Below are 16,958 nucleotides of genomic sequence, written 5' to 3'. Positions count from 1 at the left end.
AATCTGCTATCAAAATGATGATGGCAAAGTAAAATGAAACTTTCTGATTCTTCATGCCATTAATGCAAGCTGGTGTTACCCTAATCAAATGAAACCCCTTATCATGACTACAGGAGTGAAACAGAAGCAAGCATTTCCTCCATCTGTCATTAAGCTTATTTCAATCATATCACTCATGGGATATGATACATGCTGCCATTATCTTGACTGTGTCAGTACAGTCAATAGAACTGAGACAAATTCTTGGGCTAAAAAAATCACATATGTTAATTCTAATACAATATCGTGCAGAAATGGGTACTTTTATTTATTGATTTTATATAGCATCACTTTATTATGAAAATAATGGCTGTTAGATACTGATTACATGATATTTTCTAATAAAGATGAGTAGCTGGTGCCTTTTAATTTCCTACTCTGTGATGCCAAATAAACTCACTGCTTTTCTCTGTGCCTCATTTTCCCTTTATATATAGTAGAAGAATGTTTTGCTTCCCATACTTCTAAAAGACAGAAAACTCAAAATGCAACAGAACACAGTGAGGCATTTTATAAAATAATGTGTATTTTTAAAAGCTGGGCAGCTGGTCATGGTGGCACAGACCTATAATCCCAGCTACTAGAGAGGTTGAGGCAGGAGGATTACTTGACACCAGGAGTTTTGGTCCAGCCTGGGAAACAGCAAAACCACGGGTCTAAAAACATTTTTGTTAATAAAGAAATAAAACCTATTTTCTAAAAAGTTGGGCATCTATCTCAGTTTCAGTAATTTTTTTAAAGTAGGGCACACATCTCAATTTCAGTGAACCACATCATAATTTAAATGCATCAAAGCTGCTGGGCGTGGTGGCTCATGCCTGTAATCTCAGCATTCTGGGAGGCTGAAGCAGGAGGACTGCTTGAGGTCAGGAATTCGAGACCAGCCTGGGCAACACAGTCAGACCCCGTCTCTATTTTAAAATTAAAAAAAAAAAATTTAAGTATCAAAGAAACTCACATAATATTCTTTTGTAAAAATAATCAAGCCCCTTGTATACTAGTTTAGAACATTCAAAATTTCAAGTAATAAATTTGCTTAAAAGAGAGGTTCAACTAGGCCAGGCATGGTGGCTCATGCCTGTAATCCCAGCACTTTGGAGGCCGAGGCAGGCGGATTGCCTGAGCTCAGGAGTTCGTGACCAGCCTGGGCAACATTGTGAAACCCCATCTCTACGAAAATACAAAAAATTAGCTGGGCATGGTGGTGTGCGCCTGTAGTCTCAGCTACTTGGGAGGCTGAGGCAGGAGAATTGCTCGAACCCAGGAGGCGGAGGATGCAGTGAACCAAGACTGCGCCACTGCACTGCAGCCTGGGAGACTCAGCAAGACTCTGTCTCAAAAAAAAAAAAAAAAAAAGAGAGAGGTTCAACTAAACTTACGAAGTTCCTTGAGTTCACCCTATGTACTTGGTGGTATAAAATATTTTTATTACATATATTATCAGCTGAAACATTTATTATGTACTGTCCTTGCTTCCCACTCCTTGAATGCAAGCAGTTACCTTTGACCTATATGATGTTAACAATTTATTATTCATTCCAAATGAGCCTGTTTCTGTTTAATTGTCTATAAAAGTCTATCCCAAAGCAATTAGATAAAACAAAAAAGACATGAATTTAAATGAAGAGCAAGATTTTTAAGATATTAATTTTTTATACAATTTATTAATATTCACACTAATTATTAAGTAATATTAAAAATCACAATCTGATTTATATTTTTCCCAAAGAATTTTTTTTTTTTTGAGGCAAAGTCTTGCTCTGTCATGCAGGCTGGAGTGCAGTGGCACAATCATAGCTCACGGTAGCCTCAAACTCCTGGGCTCAAGCGATCCTCCTACCTCAACCTCCTAAGTAGCTAGGAATATGGGCACATACCACTATCCCCAGCTAATTTTTTAATTTTCTGTAGAGACAAGGTCTTGATATGTTGCCCAGGCTGGTCTTGAACTCCTGGGCTCAAGCAATCCTCCTGCCTCGGCCTCCCAAAGTGCTAGGATTACAGGCGTGAACCACCACATATGACCTTCCCAAGAATTTTGTCCCCAAAACTGAAAAAACAATGCTGTGGTAGAACCACAGTTCCCAAACTGTGTCCCAAGGAACTCCAGCTTGGAACAGCAGCAAGTCCATAGAGCAACACAGAATATTTCAAATGTTCAAGGACAACACAGTGATACTCAATGTCTGTTGAAAATCACATGAACTACTAGTATGAGATAGCCATGGTTTCAACATTCAAATAGTACCCTTTTGGTAATGTCAGATCATTGCAAAGCTGAGTTTTCTGTGGTTGCTGGGATGAAAAACAAGTACTATGTGAATATCAACGTGAATCAGGAAATGAGTGTGGCAGTGTCCAATCTGAGCCCAAGGTTTGAGAAGATGTGCAGCATCCAATAAGCTTGTACTGCAACCTTATGTTATAGAGCCTTTTATTTATTTATATTTATTTATTTATTTATTTTGAGAGAGGGAGTCTCACTCACTCTGTCACCCAGGCTGGAGTGCAGTGGCACGATCTTGGCTCACTGCTACCTCTGCTTCCTGGGTTCAAGCAATGCTCCTGCCTCAGCCTCCCGAGTAGCTGAGATTACAGGCACCCGTCACCACGCCCAGCTAATTTTTGTACTTTTAGTAGAGATGGGGTTTCACCATGTTGGGCAGGCTTGTCTCAAACTCCTGACCTCAGGTGATCTGCCCGCCTCAACCTCCCAAAGTGCTAACAGGCGTGAGCCACCATACCTGGCCTACATTATAGATACGATTATTAGACTCATTTTATAGTTGAAAAAACCAAGGTTCCCAAACTTTATTGATTACTGTGCTTTTAGTGTCTGGGTAATTTTTGTTTTTTTTGCAACTCTCATTAGCAAGTAAGTGTAATTATTTTTAAATGAAATACAATTTTTTTCTTTAAATTTATATGTATGGCCTGGGGCGGTGGATCGCGCCTTTAATCTCAGCTTTTTGGGAGGCCGAGGCAGGAGCATCACTAGAGACCAGGAGTTTGAGATCAGCCTGGCCAACACAGCAAAACCCCGTCTCTACTAAAAATTCAAAAATTACCTGGGTATGTTGGCGCACGCCTGTAATCCTAGCTACTTGGGAGGCTGATGCATGAGAACTGATTGAACCTGGGAGGCAGAGGTTGCACTGAGCCGCAATCATGTCACCACATTTCAACCTGGGCAACAGAGTGAGACTCTCTCAAAAAAATAAAAAATGTTTTATATGTATTATTTTTTCAAATGGCTACTAAGTTGTAAAATCATAAATATATATTAAGATATTTGGGCTTAACTTAATCAATGGAATTATTAAGTATTTCTTTGAGCCTGAGTTGTGAAAAAATTACTGAGACTCTAGGAGCACAGTTACCAAGAAAGTTTGGGAACCTTGGTTTTTTCAAGTATAAAATGAGTCTAATAATAGTATTTACAACATAGGGTTGCAGTGAGATTGAATGAGTTAATTTACAAAAAGTATTCGGAATAGTATAGGCACCTTGTATTAGTAGTAATATTACCACCTCATTACCTAGGACAGTTCTCGTCAATGATCTTAACACTCACTTCTATGTGATCGATAAAAGAGTTTTGAAGTACATCTGTATCAGTAACATTAAAACTTTATAACTGCCAACATAATCAGAAGTTGTTTTTGTTTTGTTTTGTTTTTTTGAGACAGAATCTCCCTCTGTCGCCCAGGCTGGAGTGCAGCGGTGCTATCTCGGCTCACTGCAAGCTCCGCCTCCTTGGGTTCACGCCATTCTCCTGCCTCAGCCTCCAGAGTAGCTGGGACTACAGGCGCCCACCACCATGCCTGGCTAATTTTTTGTATTTTTAGTAGAGATGGGGTTTCACCGTGTTAGCCAGGATGGTCTCGATCTCCTGACCTCGTGATCCAACCACCTCGGCCTCCCGAAATGCTGGGATTACAGGCGTGAGCCACGGTGCCCAGCCATAATCAGAAGTTTTTATTTAAATTTACTATCTGGGAAGAGAACAGAAATTACTCTATTTCTTTATTTTTTGCTCTCTTAAATTTTTAGGTCTTCTGGGATTAAAATTTTCATTCTATTTTTTTTAAAAACTAGAAACCCAGAATTTCTATTACAGAGTTTAAAAAAAAAAAACTTCAAAAGTCTTTCATTTGAAAAAACAATTTTAAAAAATTGTGTTCATGCCAAGGGTGGTGGCTCACACTTGTAATCCCAGCATTTTGGGAGGTCGAGGTGGGAAGACTGCTTGAGGCCAGGAGTTCAAGACCAGCCTGGGCAACATAAAGAGACACCATCTCTACAAAATAAAAATAAAAGTAATTAGCCAGGTGTAGTGGTGGGTGATGACAGTCCAAGCTACTTGGTAGGCTGAGGTAGCAGGATTGCCTGCACCGAAGAGGTCGAGGCTGCAGTGAGCTATGATTGTAACATTGTACTCCAGCCTGGCAACAGAGCAAGACCCTAGCTCAAAAAATAAAATAAAAATTGCGTTTAAAGAAGCATCTAATAAGGTATTTGCCCTCTTCTCACTCCCCACACCCCAACTAAGACCTTCTATAAGCTGTTCTGCTAGGAAGGTGAGCAGAATTTACTTGCTACACATTGATTACAGCCTTTATCTTCCTATAGCTTAGTAATCCTTAAAAGTGTTTTACTTATCTCTTTCTTTTTATTTCTTAATTTCAGACTTACAGAAAAGGTATAGAAATTGTACAAAAAAATTCCTGTATATTCTTCACCCAATTTCCTAAATATTGCTATTTTACCACGTTTGCTTTATCATTTTGGTCATTTCGCTAACATAGTATCTGACATATTTCTCCACTCTAAATTTATAATTTTTCTCCTTATAATTAATACATATCTTGTGGGGGGGACATACTTTGTGACTATGTAAATATCCCATTTCTCAACCAAACTTGACCTGCTAGTTTTCCTATCCATCGATGATTCAATTATTACCACGATGGTTGCTAGATAGTGATTTCCTAATTCCATTATTCCTTCTACATTTATTAGTTGATATTGTACAATAAGGACTCACTTTTCCTTCTCCCACATTTATTTACTCTTATTTATATGCCCACATGTTATTCAATGAGTTATAATACATTACTATCATTATTTATTTTTATGCTTAATTCTTCCAGATTTGGCCAGCAGCAATCCCTTCAGGATAACTCTTGGACATTTTGAGATGCCTGATCCTATATTTTTAAAGTACTTTCTAACTTACTAGCTTAATAAAATGTGCAAGGCTCATCCTGTACGTCCCCAGCCCTAGCCTCCCTGGAATTGGCCAAATCCTCAAGGAGCTCTGGTTCCTTTAAATAGTGAACAAAATTAGAAATCATGATTTAAGTGACAGGTGTGCTCATTGCTCTTGGGGTGTCATTGTGTCTGGGATTTCTCAGTGAATAGAGCCAGGGAATATATACATGCATATATATATGATTATATGTACACAATAAAAACATTCTCATACCTTTCTTAAAAAACATGAGTTTTATACTGTCATTCCAAGTCTAATCCAACACTATACGATTCATTCTACTTTTGTCCTGTTCTAATTTGTAACTCTCTTCTCTCTGTGAGGAAAATGAATTCCATTATCTATAATAAATGTACTTATTTGCCCAATTCCAGAATACACAGAAGTAGTTTTAGAACTGCTACCAAAAGACACCCTCTAGTGCAAAAAAAAAAGTAACTAAAATTTAATATTCATTTGCAGTTCATTTAGTCTTTAGTCTGAGAGTACACAGTTAAAAAAAAAAAATTATATTCTGCAGTTGCTTGGATTGGGTTAGTCCCCCCACCAACATACCCGCTCTTCAGGGTGATTATATTATTCACTTGAAACTGTTAGGTTGATTTGTTTGTATTCCATTTTAGGATTTCCCTCCCCATTTGTGTGTGTGTGTGTATGTGTGTTTTAGTATATGAACATTAACATGGTTCCAAAAGTAGACCCATACAAAAAGAAATATTCAAGAAAACTGTCAGTCCCCATCCCCTCCACTCAGTCCCCAGCCTCCTCACCCTTTCCTCCTCATTTCCACCCACTTCCTGTAGGTAACCAATCTCATTACTTTCTAATTTATCCTTCCCGGTTTTCTTTTTTGGTCAAAAAAGCAGACACATGTATGTTTTCTCACTCCTTTTTTTTTTTTTTTACACAAAAAGTAGCATACTATAGATACTGTTTTGTACTCTACCTTTTTCACTAAATAATATATCCTAGAAATCATTCTATATTGGTTCACAGACATCTTCATTTTTTTTTTTTTTTGAGACAGAGTCTTGCTCTGTCGCCCAGGTTGGAGTGCAGTGGTGCAATCTCAGCTATGCAACCTCTGCCTCCTGGGTTCAAGCAATTCTCCTGCCTCAGCCTCCCAAGTAGCTGGGATTACAGGCATGCACCACCATGCCCAGCTAATTTTTGTATTTTTAGTAGAGATGAGGTTTCACCATGTTAACCAGGCTGGTCTCGAACTCCTGACCTCAGGTGATCCACCTGCCTCAGCCTTCCACAGTGCTGGGATTACAGGCGTGAGCCACTGCACCTGGCCCCTCATTCTTTTTTATAGATTTATAGTACTCTATTATGTACTTGTACTGTAGTTTATTCAACCACTCTCCTCCACAGGAGACTATTTTTTTCTGAGTCTGCTTGCTAGAGAACCATATGGGAATTTAGATTTTCTCAATTATTTCCCAAATACAAACAATGCTGCAATACATAAACTTGTGCGTATGTATTTTCATATTGCCGTAGGTGTATATTCAGGATAAATTCTTAAAATGATTACTGGGCCAAAAGTAAACACATTTGAAGTTTTTTTGAAACCTATAATGTTTTAATATAGAGATTTAAAGTAGTTTTGTAATAATATTATTTGTCTATATAGGTGTTTTGTTTTAGATTTTGAGTCACCAGACTTTGTCTTTTACACAGCACAATTATACCTTAACGAATATGTGCTGGTGACTATAAGCAATTGAATAACAAAATTATTCCTAAGTAGTATTAGATTTTGTATTTATTTATTTATTATTTTTTATTTTTGAGATGGAGTGTTGCTGTGTCACCCAGGCTGGAGTGCAGTGGCACAATCTCAGCTCACTGCAATCCCCACCTCCCGGGGTCAAGCGATTCTCCTGCCTCAGCCTCCCGAGTAGCTGGGATTACAGGCACGCGTCAAAACACCTGGCTAATTTTTGGATTTTTAGTAGAGACAGGGTTTTGTCATCTTGCCCAGGCTGGTCTCAAACTCCTGAGCTCAAAGTGATCCACCCGCCTCAGACTCTCGTCAAGTGCTGGGATAACAGGTGTGAGGTACCATGCCTGGCCTTATATTTATTTAACTAGTTTAGTTCTGAGAGTAATGCTGTATAAAAATAATGGGGTAGGGGGAAGAGCCCTTAGATATGAGAAATAATAGATACATAAGGATAGATCACATTCTGCCTGTGGGAATGGTTGGGGATATATTTTCACATCTCTAAGAAGGACGTATTTCCTCCCAGCAGAGGTGATGATCTGAAGTTGCTGGAAACATGATAAATAGTGAAGGGAGCCGGTCTGCCTGTGCTACAGGGCCTGGTTAATTACACTGTAAATCATGCAAATACTGACATGTTGAACAAAAAGCTTCTCCAGACATCTTATCCTTCTCACTAAAAGACAGTTCTTTTAAAAAATAGGCAGATTGGTAATTATCTCAAGCTGAGAATATACAAAATGCTGATATTAACCCCTAGAGATGCAGAAAAGTTTTAGGGCTTTGAAGTCTGTAAGGCATTAAAAAATGCTTAACAAATATGATTTACAAATCATACACTCTTGATTAAGCATTTTATTAGTAGGACAACCAACTCCCACTCCCCATAGCCTACAATCAGTACTATAACATTATTCTAGAATTTTATTATTTGTATCTTTCTTTTGGGAGCCTTCCCTTGTATATTGTCTAGGATTCACGAATAATTCTCTACCCCTTAGAAATGTAAATATTTCATTTGGAAATCTTTGTGCGATCTGGGCTTTCACAGATGGAGATCAAAGATAGGAATTAGTCCTCTACTCCACTCCTGACCAGTGTCAGCAAATCCTCCCTTGTCCCTTTGTCTCTTCCACAATAAAAGCAAAAGAATATGACCATGGTGTACATATTGATATTTTACCACTTTTATGTTACCATTTATACTGTGACCATTTCATTCACATGGTATCTTCCAGGTTGCTCCACTGTAAATTTTCAATTTTTCTCTTCGTAACTAATCAATACCTTGTGGGACACACTTTGTGACTATGTAAATATCCTGTTTCTCATATGTGGCAAAGAGTTTCATGAAGAGGACACAAATTCACAATAGGGGCCCGCAATAGATCTCCTTAAATATGATATTATTTAAACCACCTCATGCCAAACAGTCTATACCTGAAGAAAACCAAGTTTCATTAATTGCTGCTTTTATCTTGGCATCAATAATAAGAGGCAATGCAGCCTTGTTTAAAGAGCGCAAGTTTGGGGATCACACAGATTGGGTTCAAAACCAAGTATGGCCACTTACTACCTATATGATGTGAGAGGCAAGCTACTTAATGTCTCTGAGCCCTAGTTTCTTCTCAGAAAAATGAGAACACTGTAGTATCAACCTCATAGAGCTATTGTGAGTTCAATGAGCTCATATAATATGAAAAGTACCCTGAACCCAATGTGGCACATAGCAGGCATTCAATAAATGGTATCCATTAATAAATAATAATGGTGAAATTATTTTGGTTACTTTTGAACCCTGATGAAATTTTTTACGGATGGAGACATTCGGGCATACTTGACACCTATTCTATTGATCCAGCCTTACGTCAGAGCTGATTTAAAAACAGAAAAGCAAAGTCCTTGGTAGATTCTCTTCAGGAAATTAAACTGTGGGGTCTATGGGCCCAGAGTTCATGTCAACTCTTCACTTCAATGTGGACTGTCCATTTGGAGGTCAATAAGATGAGTCCAGAGAGCCCTTTATTCGAAGACTGGAGTGCCACCGTGAGGTCAGCATTGGTCCTTGCGCTATTTACTTCAATTCTGTCCTAATTAAAAGAATATTTGAGTAGTTACACTTACATTGCATTGTAGCCTAAAAGTACACTCTGTTGACTATTGGTGGCAAAAAAAAAAAAAAAAAAAAAAAAAACTGTAAGAATTTGGATTTCTTGAGTACTTGATTTGGATTTCTAAAGTACTAGACTATTGGTAAATCTTGAGAATTTGAAGCTGGAAACTCAGCCTCGGGGAAAGCAAGGTTTTTGTCTCACTGTGGGAATGGCTTCCGGATGTTATCCATAGCCAATCACCCTCTCCTCAACTCACTTTTAAATTAAGATCCTGAAGTTACAGTTCAAAAGTTCCTAGCTCCCGTTGCAAAGAAATAATAATTCCTACTTTCAAATAACCATTAGAAACTTCATTCAAATGTCCCACAAAAATCTCAAACTCAACGTATTCAGAATTAAACTTACTATGAATATATAGTCCTCACACAAACCTAGCCCTTCAGTATTCTCCCTTTCCGTGAAAAGGCTCACCCCTACTCAGTCACCTAAGTTTGAGACCCGGGAGTTATTTTAAGTTTCTCCCTCTCCTGCTATCCTCCCACATCCAGTCACTTTACCTCCTTAATGTCCTTTAGATCCGCTCCTTTCTCCTCTTCCTTCCTACAGCCACTGCCTTCTTTCCTCACTAGACTGCTATTTCAATATTGTCCTGGTCTCCCTGACTCCAACTTGCCTCTCTTCTGTGTTGCTGCTAAAGTGATGTTTTAAAATTAAAAACTGCCAGGCACAGTGGCTCATGCCTGTCATCCCAGCACGTTGGGAGGCCGAGGCAGGTGGATTGCTTGAGCCCAGGAGTTCAAGACCAGCCTAGGCAACATGGCGAAACCCCATCCCTACAAAAAATGTAAAAATTAGCTGGGCATGGTGGTGCATGCCTGTAGTCCCAGCTACTAGGGAGGCTGAGGTGGGAGGATCACCTGAGCCTGGGGAGGGCAAGGCTGCAGTGAGCTACGATTGCACCACTGCACTGCAGCCTGGATGACAGGGTGAGACCCTGTCTCTAAATAAATAAATATTAAATTAAAAACTTTATATCAGTGGCTTAACATCCTCTAATGGCTCTCAGTGCCTACAATATCAGGTTCAAAGTCCTCAGTATATACAAAAGGCCCGTCACAAGCTGGTCCCTACCTACCTGTCCAGCTCCAATTCTTGCTGCAGCATCCACTTCCAGCTTTGTTGAGCCACTAGTAGTTCCCCAAACACAACAGCGTGTTTCATCCCTCTTTACATTTGTTGCGCTGCTCTCCTCTCTACTTAAATACTTTTACCTGTGTTTTCTAATTGGTCAACACTTTATTTGTTAAGGCTATGCCAGCTTTGTCTTCTCTATAAAGTCTTTTCTAACTTTCCACAAAGCCCACTCCATCCTGCCACCCTTACTCCCTCACTTCCTACACTTATACTGCAGTGCCTAGAGAATTTCCTTGCTCTGTTTGCAAACAGTTCTCTGTCCCTTGCAAACTCAAAGCTACTTGAGACCAAGGACTGTGTCTAGTTCATTTTTGGATCCCTAAGCCCTAGTCCATGCCAGAAACACTGTAAAAACAACCACCACCAAGTTTGTTGAATGATAAACAAGGAGTGGAGAAAAAGTTTTCAAAAACATACTCTTAGGACATAGAGTGATCACTCTATTCACAACAAGTTATCCCAAATAGCTTTTCCACTGCAGTGTTATACAGACTTTGTGTTCTCACTTGCTACAGCTGAGAAACCATGTGTGTCTACCAGTCAGACCGTACTGGTTTTTAGAGAAATTCCAGTTATACAAAACCATGATTCAGTTTCCTCACCACTTTTGTTGACAATGCTTTTAAGTTGTTTTGTTTCGTTTTTTCCCCAGGAGGAAATGGTCCTTTAATGAGTCAGCTGGACATTGTGAGGGTATGAAATGGTCTAAGTCTAACAGTTTCTATTTGTCTTCTTTCATTCATTCATCTAAAATTTATCACAAAGCACCAAGCAAAAAACATAAGGTCCATTCCAAAATTCATTGAGGTTGGCAGTTTCAGGGATCTTTGTCTATTTCATTTCACTTCATTAATTGGACAAGATTACTGACCACTTACTGTGAAACAGACTCCATGAGAAGCAAACAATATGAAGATAAATGAGATGTAGGAACAGCCCTCAAAAAGCTCAAAGTCTGTGGACATACATGGAAATATCATTTCAATGCTATAGGAAAAGAGCTAAAATAGAGGTACTTATGAAGTGGCATGAGAACTCGAAGAAAGATGGACTATGTCAAGGAGGGGACATTCAGGGTAAGTTTCACTCAGGAGAGGACATGTAAACTGAGTATTGAAGAATATAAGGAGTTATCCATGGAGGAAAGGAACAGAGGACATTCCAAGAAGAAAAAAAAAATAAGTACAAAGTTTCTGAGTTGGAAGCAAAGCTGAAATGAGGTGAGAAAACTAAAGCTTAGAGAGGATACGTAACCACACAGCTGGTTAAGTGATAGGACTGAGAGTTGAACCCAAGCTGAAGCTGTTTATGGCAGGGAGTCATATTTCTTGAGAATGCTGAAGCAGATAAAATGTTGAGACCCACTGCTTAGGGACTGACATACAAGTTATAGTTCAGACTACATTCAGCAGACAATGGGGAATCAAGAGAGGTTTTTAAGCAGAGAAGCAACATGGTCCACATTTGGGCTTCAGAAATATAATTCCAGCAGGTGGATTCTTAATGTTGACTACAATTAGAATCACTTGAGAAGCTTTCAAAAATTACAGGCTAGGGAACCAGTATAGAACAATTAAACCAGAATTTCTGGGGGTGGGAATCAGTTTTCTTTTGTTTGTTTGTTTTGAGGCAGGGTCTTGCTCTGTTGCCCAGGCTGGAGTCTAGTGGTGTGACCATGGCTCATTGCAACCTCGACCTCCCAGGCTCAATTGATCTTCCCAGCTCAGCCTCCCTAGTAGCTGGGACTACGGGTACACCACCACACTTGGCTAATTTTTTAAAAATTGTTTGGTAGAAATGGGGTCTCCCTATGTTGCCCAGGCTGGTCTTGAATTCCTGGCCTGAAGCAATCCTCCTGCCTTGGCCTCCCAAAGTGCTGGGATTATAGGTGTGAGCCACTGCACTTGGTCACTTGTTTCATAAGTTCTTCAGAAGATTCTATTGTGTGGTTAGGGTCAAGAACTATTGCTCTAGAAGGAAGAACTGAAAGATGGGAAAGAACTACTATTGCTTAAGAACCTACTATGTGTGAGATTTTGTTCCAAATGCTTTATACAATAACTACAGAATATATATATCTATATATCTATATATCTATCTATCTATATATATATATATAAGGATTTTATACATATCTAGTATTCTGACCCATCTCAACCATTTTGAGCCCTGTGTGGTGAAAAGTTATGCTACTCCTAACCTCAAGGTAGATATTATAATCCTATAATCACTATTTTACCAACAAGGAAACTGAGGCACAGACCAGTGAAATAACTCATTTAAGATTATCAAATTACTAAATGACACAATTGGACTCAAACATTAAGTATTTCTGATGCCCCAAACCTACACTCCTTCCACTACACACCACTGCCTATGAGCCTAGCTTAATCTTCAGAACGATTCCAAAGTAGCTATCATGATCCTCATTTTACAAACAAAGAAATTAGTCCCAGAAAGATTAATGTGACCAAATCACAAATCACAGCTAATAGGTGAAGAGGCTGGGAGAATTTAAACTCAGCCCTATTTAACTCCAAGTCCATGCTTATGAAGGTAAATAATATAGTACATATTCAACACTCAATATAATTCTTCTTTCCTCTGATCGGAAAGCAGCAAGTTGAGTTATTACTATAACACAGAGTATTATTCCTAGTGGCTTCCTCTTCCTTCTTCGGTCCTAGGTGGCTAAACTTCTATTGAACTATCAATCTCAGGTGCTTTTCTTGTTGGAGTGGGGAGGACAGAACTCTGCCATAACCTTCCATGATATTAACCTGGAAAAAGTTTAACCCTGGCCAAATCTAACACTATACACTTCACACCCTTATTTAAGTGGCTGAATCATGCTAATTTGTCTCCTTTTACATTAATTGCCCTGAACCTCAAATGGGCATTTATTGCCCAGAATTATTACCGCCTTTCTTCAGTAAGTTCATTTTCCCACTGTTAGAGAATATTATTTCACACCACTTCTCTTCTCAGCCCTCCAACACACCCTGACAAAATTTCATCCCACCCCCATCTCATAATTCTCCCTTCTCTGTTGCAGCAACAATTTATACCTTTCCACTGGGTCATCCCATATAATTTACAAACATCTCCTAGCACTCATATTTAAAAACATCAAAAACCAAAAGCAAAACCCTCCTTTGAATCCACATCTGGCTATAGCTACCACCCCACTTCTCTGCTATCCTGCTCAGCTAAATCTTTGGAAGAGTGGTTTCATCCATCTCCATTTCACCACCTTCACCAATCATCTCTATTCACCAATGTCCCTGAAACTGACATTATCAGGGGCTCTAGTGACCTCCACGTTGCCAAATGCAGTGATCTTTTCTGTCTTCAGCCTCTCAACAGCCTTTGAAATAGCTGATCACTACCTTCTTAAAACTTCTGTCTGGCTTTGGTGACACCAAATTCCTGGTCTTCCTACCTCACTGCTTGCTTTCTACTTCACTTGCTTCTTCTCAGACTCTTGTTTTACAGGTGTCTCCTCCTCCACCTCATCTCCAAGCATTAGAGTACCATAGGGTCAGTCCTGGGTCCCCTTCTCTTCTCCATTCACACATTTTCTCTAAGTGATCACATTCATGCTCATGCTTTTGGAGATGGGTTTGTTACCACTTACATAGGGATTAGGTTCTAAATCAGCTCATAAAGAAAAAAAAAATCTCATAAAGTTGAATTTTTTTTTAAATTCCCTAAGTCATCCACAAAGTATGGTAGTTGCCATTTCATACATATTAATTTTATATATGGCTATGGCCATATTTATGTGCCAAACTGAAGATCAACACACTAATATTGAGTTTTTCCTCTTATGTTGAAATAGATTAATTTTATTTATTTTTGAGACAAGGTCTCACTCTGTCACCCAGGTTGGAGTGCAGTGGTGCCGTTACAAGTCACTGCAGCTTCAACCTCCCAAGCTCAAGCAATCTTCCTGCCTCAGCCTCCCAAGTGGCTGGGACTATAGGTGTGTGCCACTACACCCAGCTAATGTTTTAATTTTTTGTAGAGATGGAGTTCCGCCATGTTGCCCCGGCTGGTTTCAAACTTCTGAGCTGAAGTAATCTGCCCACCTTGGCCTCCCAAAGTGCTAGGATTACAGGTATAAGCCACTGCGCCTGGCTGAAGATAAATTATTTTTATTGAACAACAGATGAAGTACTTGGGAAGTTCCTATTTTTAAAGAGTAGACACACTTGGGACAGGAAGACCACCCCCCGACCCACTGTAATAGGGAGTAAGGGGCTGAATTCATCTGAGAAACCGCAGATTCACCTCCCCCATCACATGCTCACCTCACACCTGCTTTCCTTGATTGTAAAGGACTCACCCATACAATTTCAAGTATGTTTCATTCTCTTTGGTCAAATACATATAACTGAATTTTTATAAGTTAAATGCTTATATGGTACAACTCCTTTGTATCATTTATATGTTGATGACTTCCAAATTAATTTCTCTAGCCCTAATTTTTGTTCCTGAGCTTCAGATTCAGAACCAACTACCTACTTGGATGTCTCCACTTAAAGTCAACTAGGTAGGCATCTTAACACGTCCAAAACATAACAATTGATTCCATCCTCCGTATCTCACTTGTACCAGAAAGCCCTTCTTCTCTCAGGCTTTCTTAGCTCAGTAAATGGCATGCCATCTACTCAGCCAAAAAACTAGGAGTGATCTTTGATTCCTCCCTTTCTCTCACCTCTGCATAAAATCCGTCAGGTACGTTTAGCTCTACCTCCAAAATACATGCCAGATCTAATCCATTTATCTCTCTCAGCACAGATACCAACCTAGACAAGCCATGATCATCATTCTACTTTGACTAACCTGTTTCCACTCTTAGCTTTTCTATGGTCCATTCTCCAAATAGCCAGTGTAATCCTTTATGAAACATCCACGCATTCATTCACCAAAGTGCACAGAAACTGGGGATACATAACGAAGCAAAGTATATCCCTGTGCTCAGGGACTTACATTCCAGAAGAGGGAGAGGCAATAAGCAGTAAATAATTTCGTACAGATGTAATAAATATAAAAAATTAAATGTGATAAACTAAATCATGTTCTTCTCTCCATAAAAATTTTCAAATAGTTTCCCAAGGTGGAAGTCCAAATTCCTTACTATGACCTTGTTACAAGATTCTGTGAGATCTGGCTTCTGTTTGTCCCTCCAACCTTATCTGTACTACTCTATCAGACTGCAACTTGGCTCTAGTCGCACCGGCATTCTTTCTATTCCCTCAAGGTTCCAATTTTTTTCCCTTCAGCCACGTGTTTCCCCTATCTGGAATGCTGTTCCCAGATCTTGGACAGGTTGCTTCCTCTTAGCTCAAGTTTTCACTTCAACAGAGTGAATTTCACTAAGTCAGCTCCCTCATCATTTTCTCTATCAATTACACCTTTTTGTTTTATAGCACTTATTACTTTACAGAGATTTTGCTTATTTATTTGTTAACAATATCTGTTGTCCCTACTAAAATGTAAGCTTCGTAAGAAGAGGAATCTTAAGATGTTGTTTACTATAGTATCCCTCAAAGTCTAGAACAGTGCCCAACATAAGAGGATACTGATAAATATTTTTTAAAAGAATTTACACACGCCTGTAGTCCCAGCAGTTTGGGAGACCGAGATGGGAGGATCACTTGAGCCCAGGAGTTCGAGGCTGCGATTGCGCCACTGCGCTCCAGCCTGGGCGACAGAGAGAGACCTTGTTTCAAAAAAAAAAAAAAAAGATAAATAATGACGGAGTACACGATAATAAAATAGCCTCGTTTCTCACCCAGCCAGGCTCCGCCTACAGGAGCCAATTATGCTCACGCCCTCTTCCGACGCTGCCCGGGGCCTGGGAAGTAGTCTGCGCAGGCGCCGTAGAACTGTGGCGCTTTCTGGGTAAAGATGGACGTCCACGATCTCTTTCGCCGGCTCGGCGCGGGGGCCAAATTCGACACGAGACGCTTCTCGGCAGACGCAGCTCGATTCCAGGTACTGTGCCCAAGGGACCGAGGGCCGAGTAACTGAGAAGGAGCAGGAGCCCGGGAATGAACCCGCTGCTGGGGGAGGCCGGCGCACTTGGACACCCGTGGCCTGGCTCTCGCCACCCTTGGGGTATTTTGCTTCCTTTTGTGTTCGGCTTGCCTGCACGGCTGCTCGGTTCAAGCCTTTTGAATAAGCTCTTTAACTATCCTGTTGTAGACCTAGTTGGGCCTGGCACGGAAACCCTCTTTCCTCCCTCTTATTCAAAGCAAAGTTGGAATCCTCCTTTCAAAAGGAACTTTTTCTCCGAACCTAGAGGAAAGGAATTTCGAAAACAGAAACAACCAAAGATGGAGAAAACAGATTCTCTTACTATAGTCTCCCCAAGTTTGGCTTGGCATGCGTATAGTTGTACTGGGCGTGATTCTTTTTATTGCTTCAACCCCATGGCTTAAGTAACCAATGAGAAGAGCGATTAAGAAATGGGGGCTCTTACCTAGAGAAGTAGTGAGTGATACATCGGGGGAGGTCAATTGGGGCCCAATTCTGGAAAATCTTGAATGTCTACTTTGTTGTTTGGATGTGTATATGCGTGTGACATGTGTTTCTT

General features: G+C 39.8%; 1 protein-coding gene and 1 long non-coding RNA gene across 4 annotated transcripts in view; one reads left to right on the top strand and one right to left on the bottom strand.

The window, feature by feature from the left end:
* Positions 1 to 7,870: 7,870 nt before the first annotated feature.
* On the bottom strand, positions 7,871 to 16,753 carry LOC105371756 (uncharacterized). 2 transcript variants are annotated; one of them, NR_188617.1, is made up of 2 exons: positions 16,155 to 16,753; positions 7,871 to 9,136 (listed from the first exon to the last, which is right to left on the bottom strand). It is a non-coding gene; the product is annotated as an uncharacterized LOC105371756 (long non-coding RNA). The 2 variants fall into 2 exon arrangements; NR_188618.1 differs by lacking the exon at positions 16,155 to 16,753 and adding an exon at positions 10,296 to 10,582.
* Positions 16,245 to 16,958, top strand: part of DDX52 (DExD-box helicase 52) — a 33,708-nt gene continuing 32,994 nt past the window's right edge. For both annotated transcript variants that reach the window (NM_007010.5, NM_001291476.2), the window contains exon 1: positions 16,245 to 16,357. In NM_007010.5, the coding sequence (NP_008941.3) occupies positions 16,271 to 16,357 (87 nt within the window). In that variant the 5' untranslated portion in view covers positions 16,245 to 16,270. The remainder of the gene's footprint in view (positions 16,358 to 16,958) is intronic.

Source organism: Homo sapiens, chromosome 17 (genome assembly GCF_000001405.40).
Source record: "Homo sapiens chromosome 17, GRCh38.p14 Primary Assembly".
NCBI lineage: Eukaryota > Metazoa > Chordata > Mammalia > Primates > Hominidae > Homo > Homo sapiens.
Note: the sequence above shows the minus strand (reverse complement) of the source record. Positions and strands in the feature narration are given on the sequence as shown.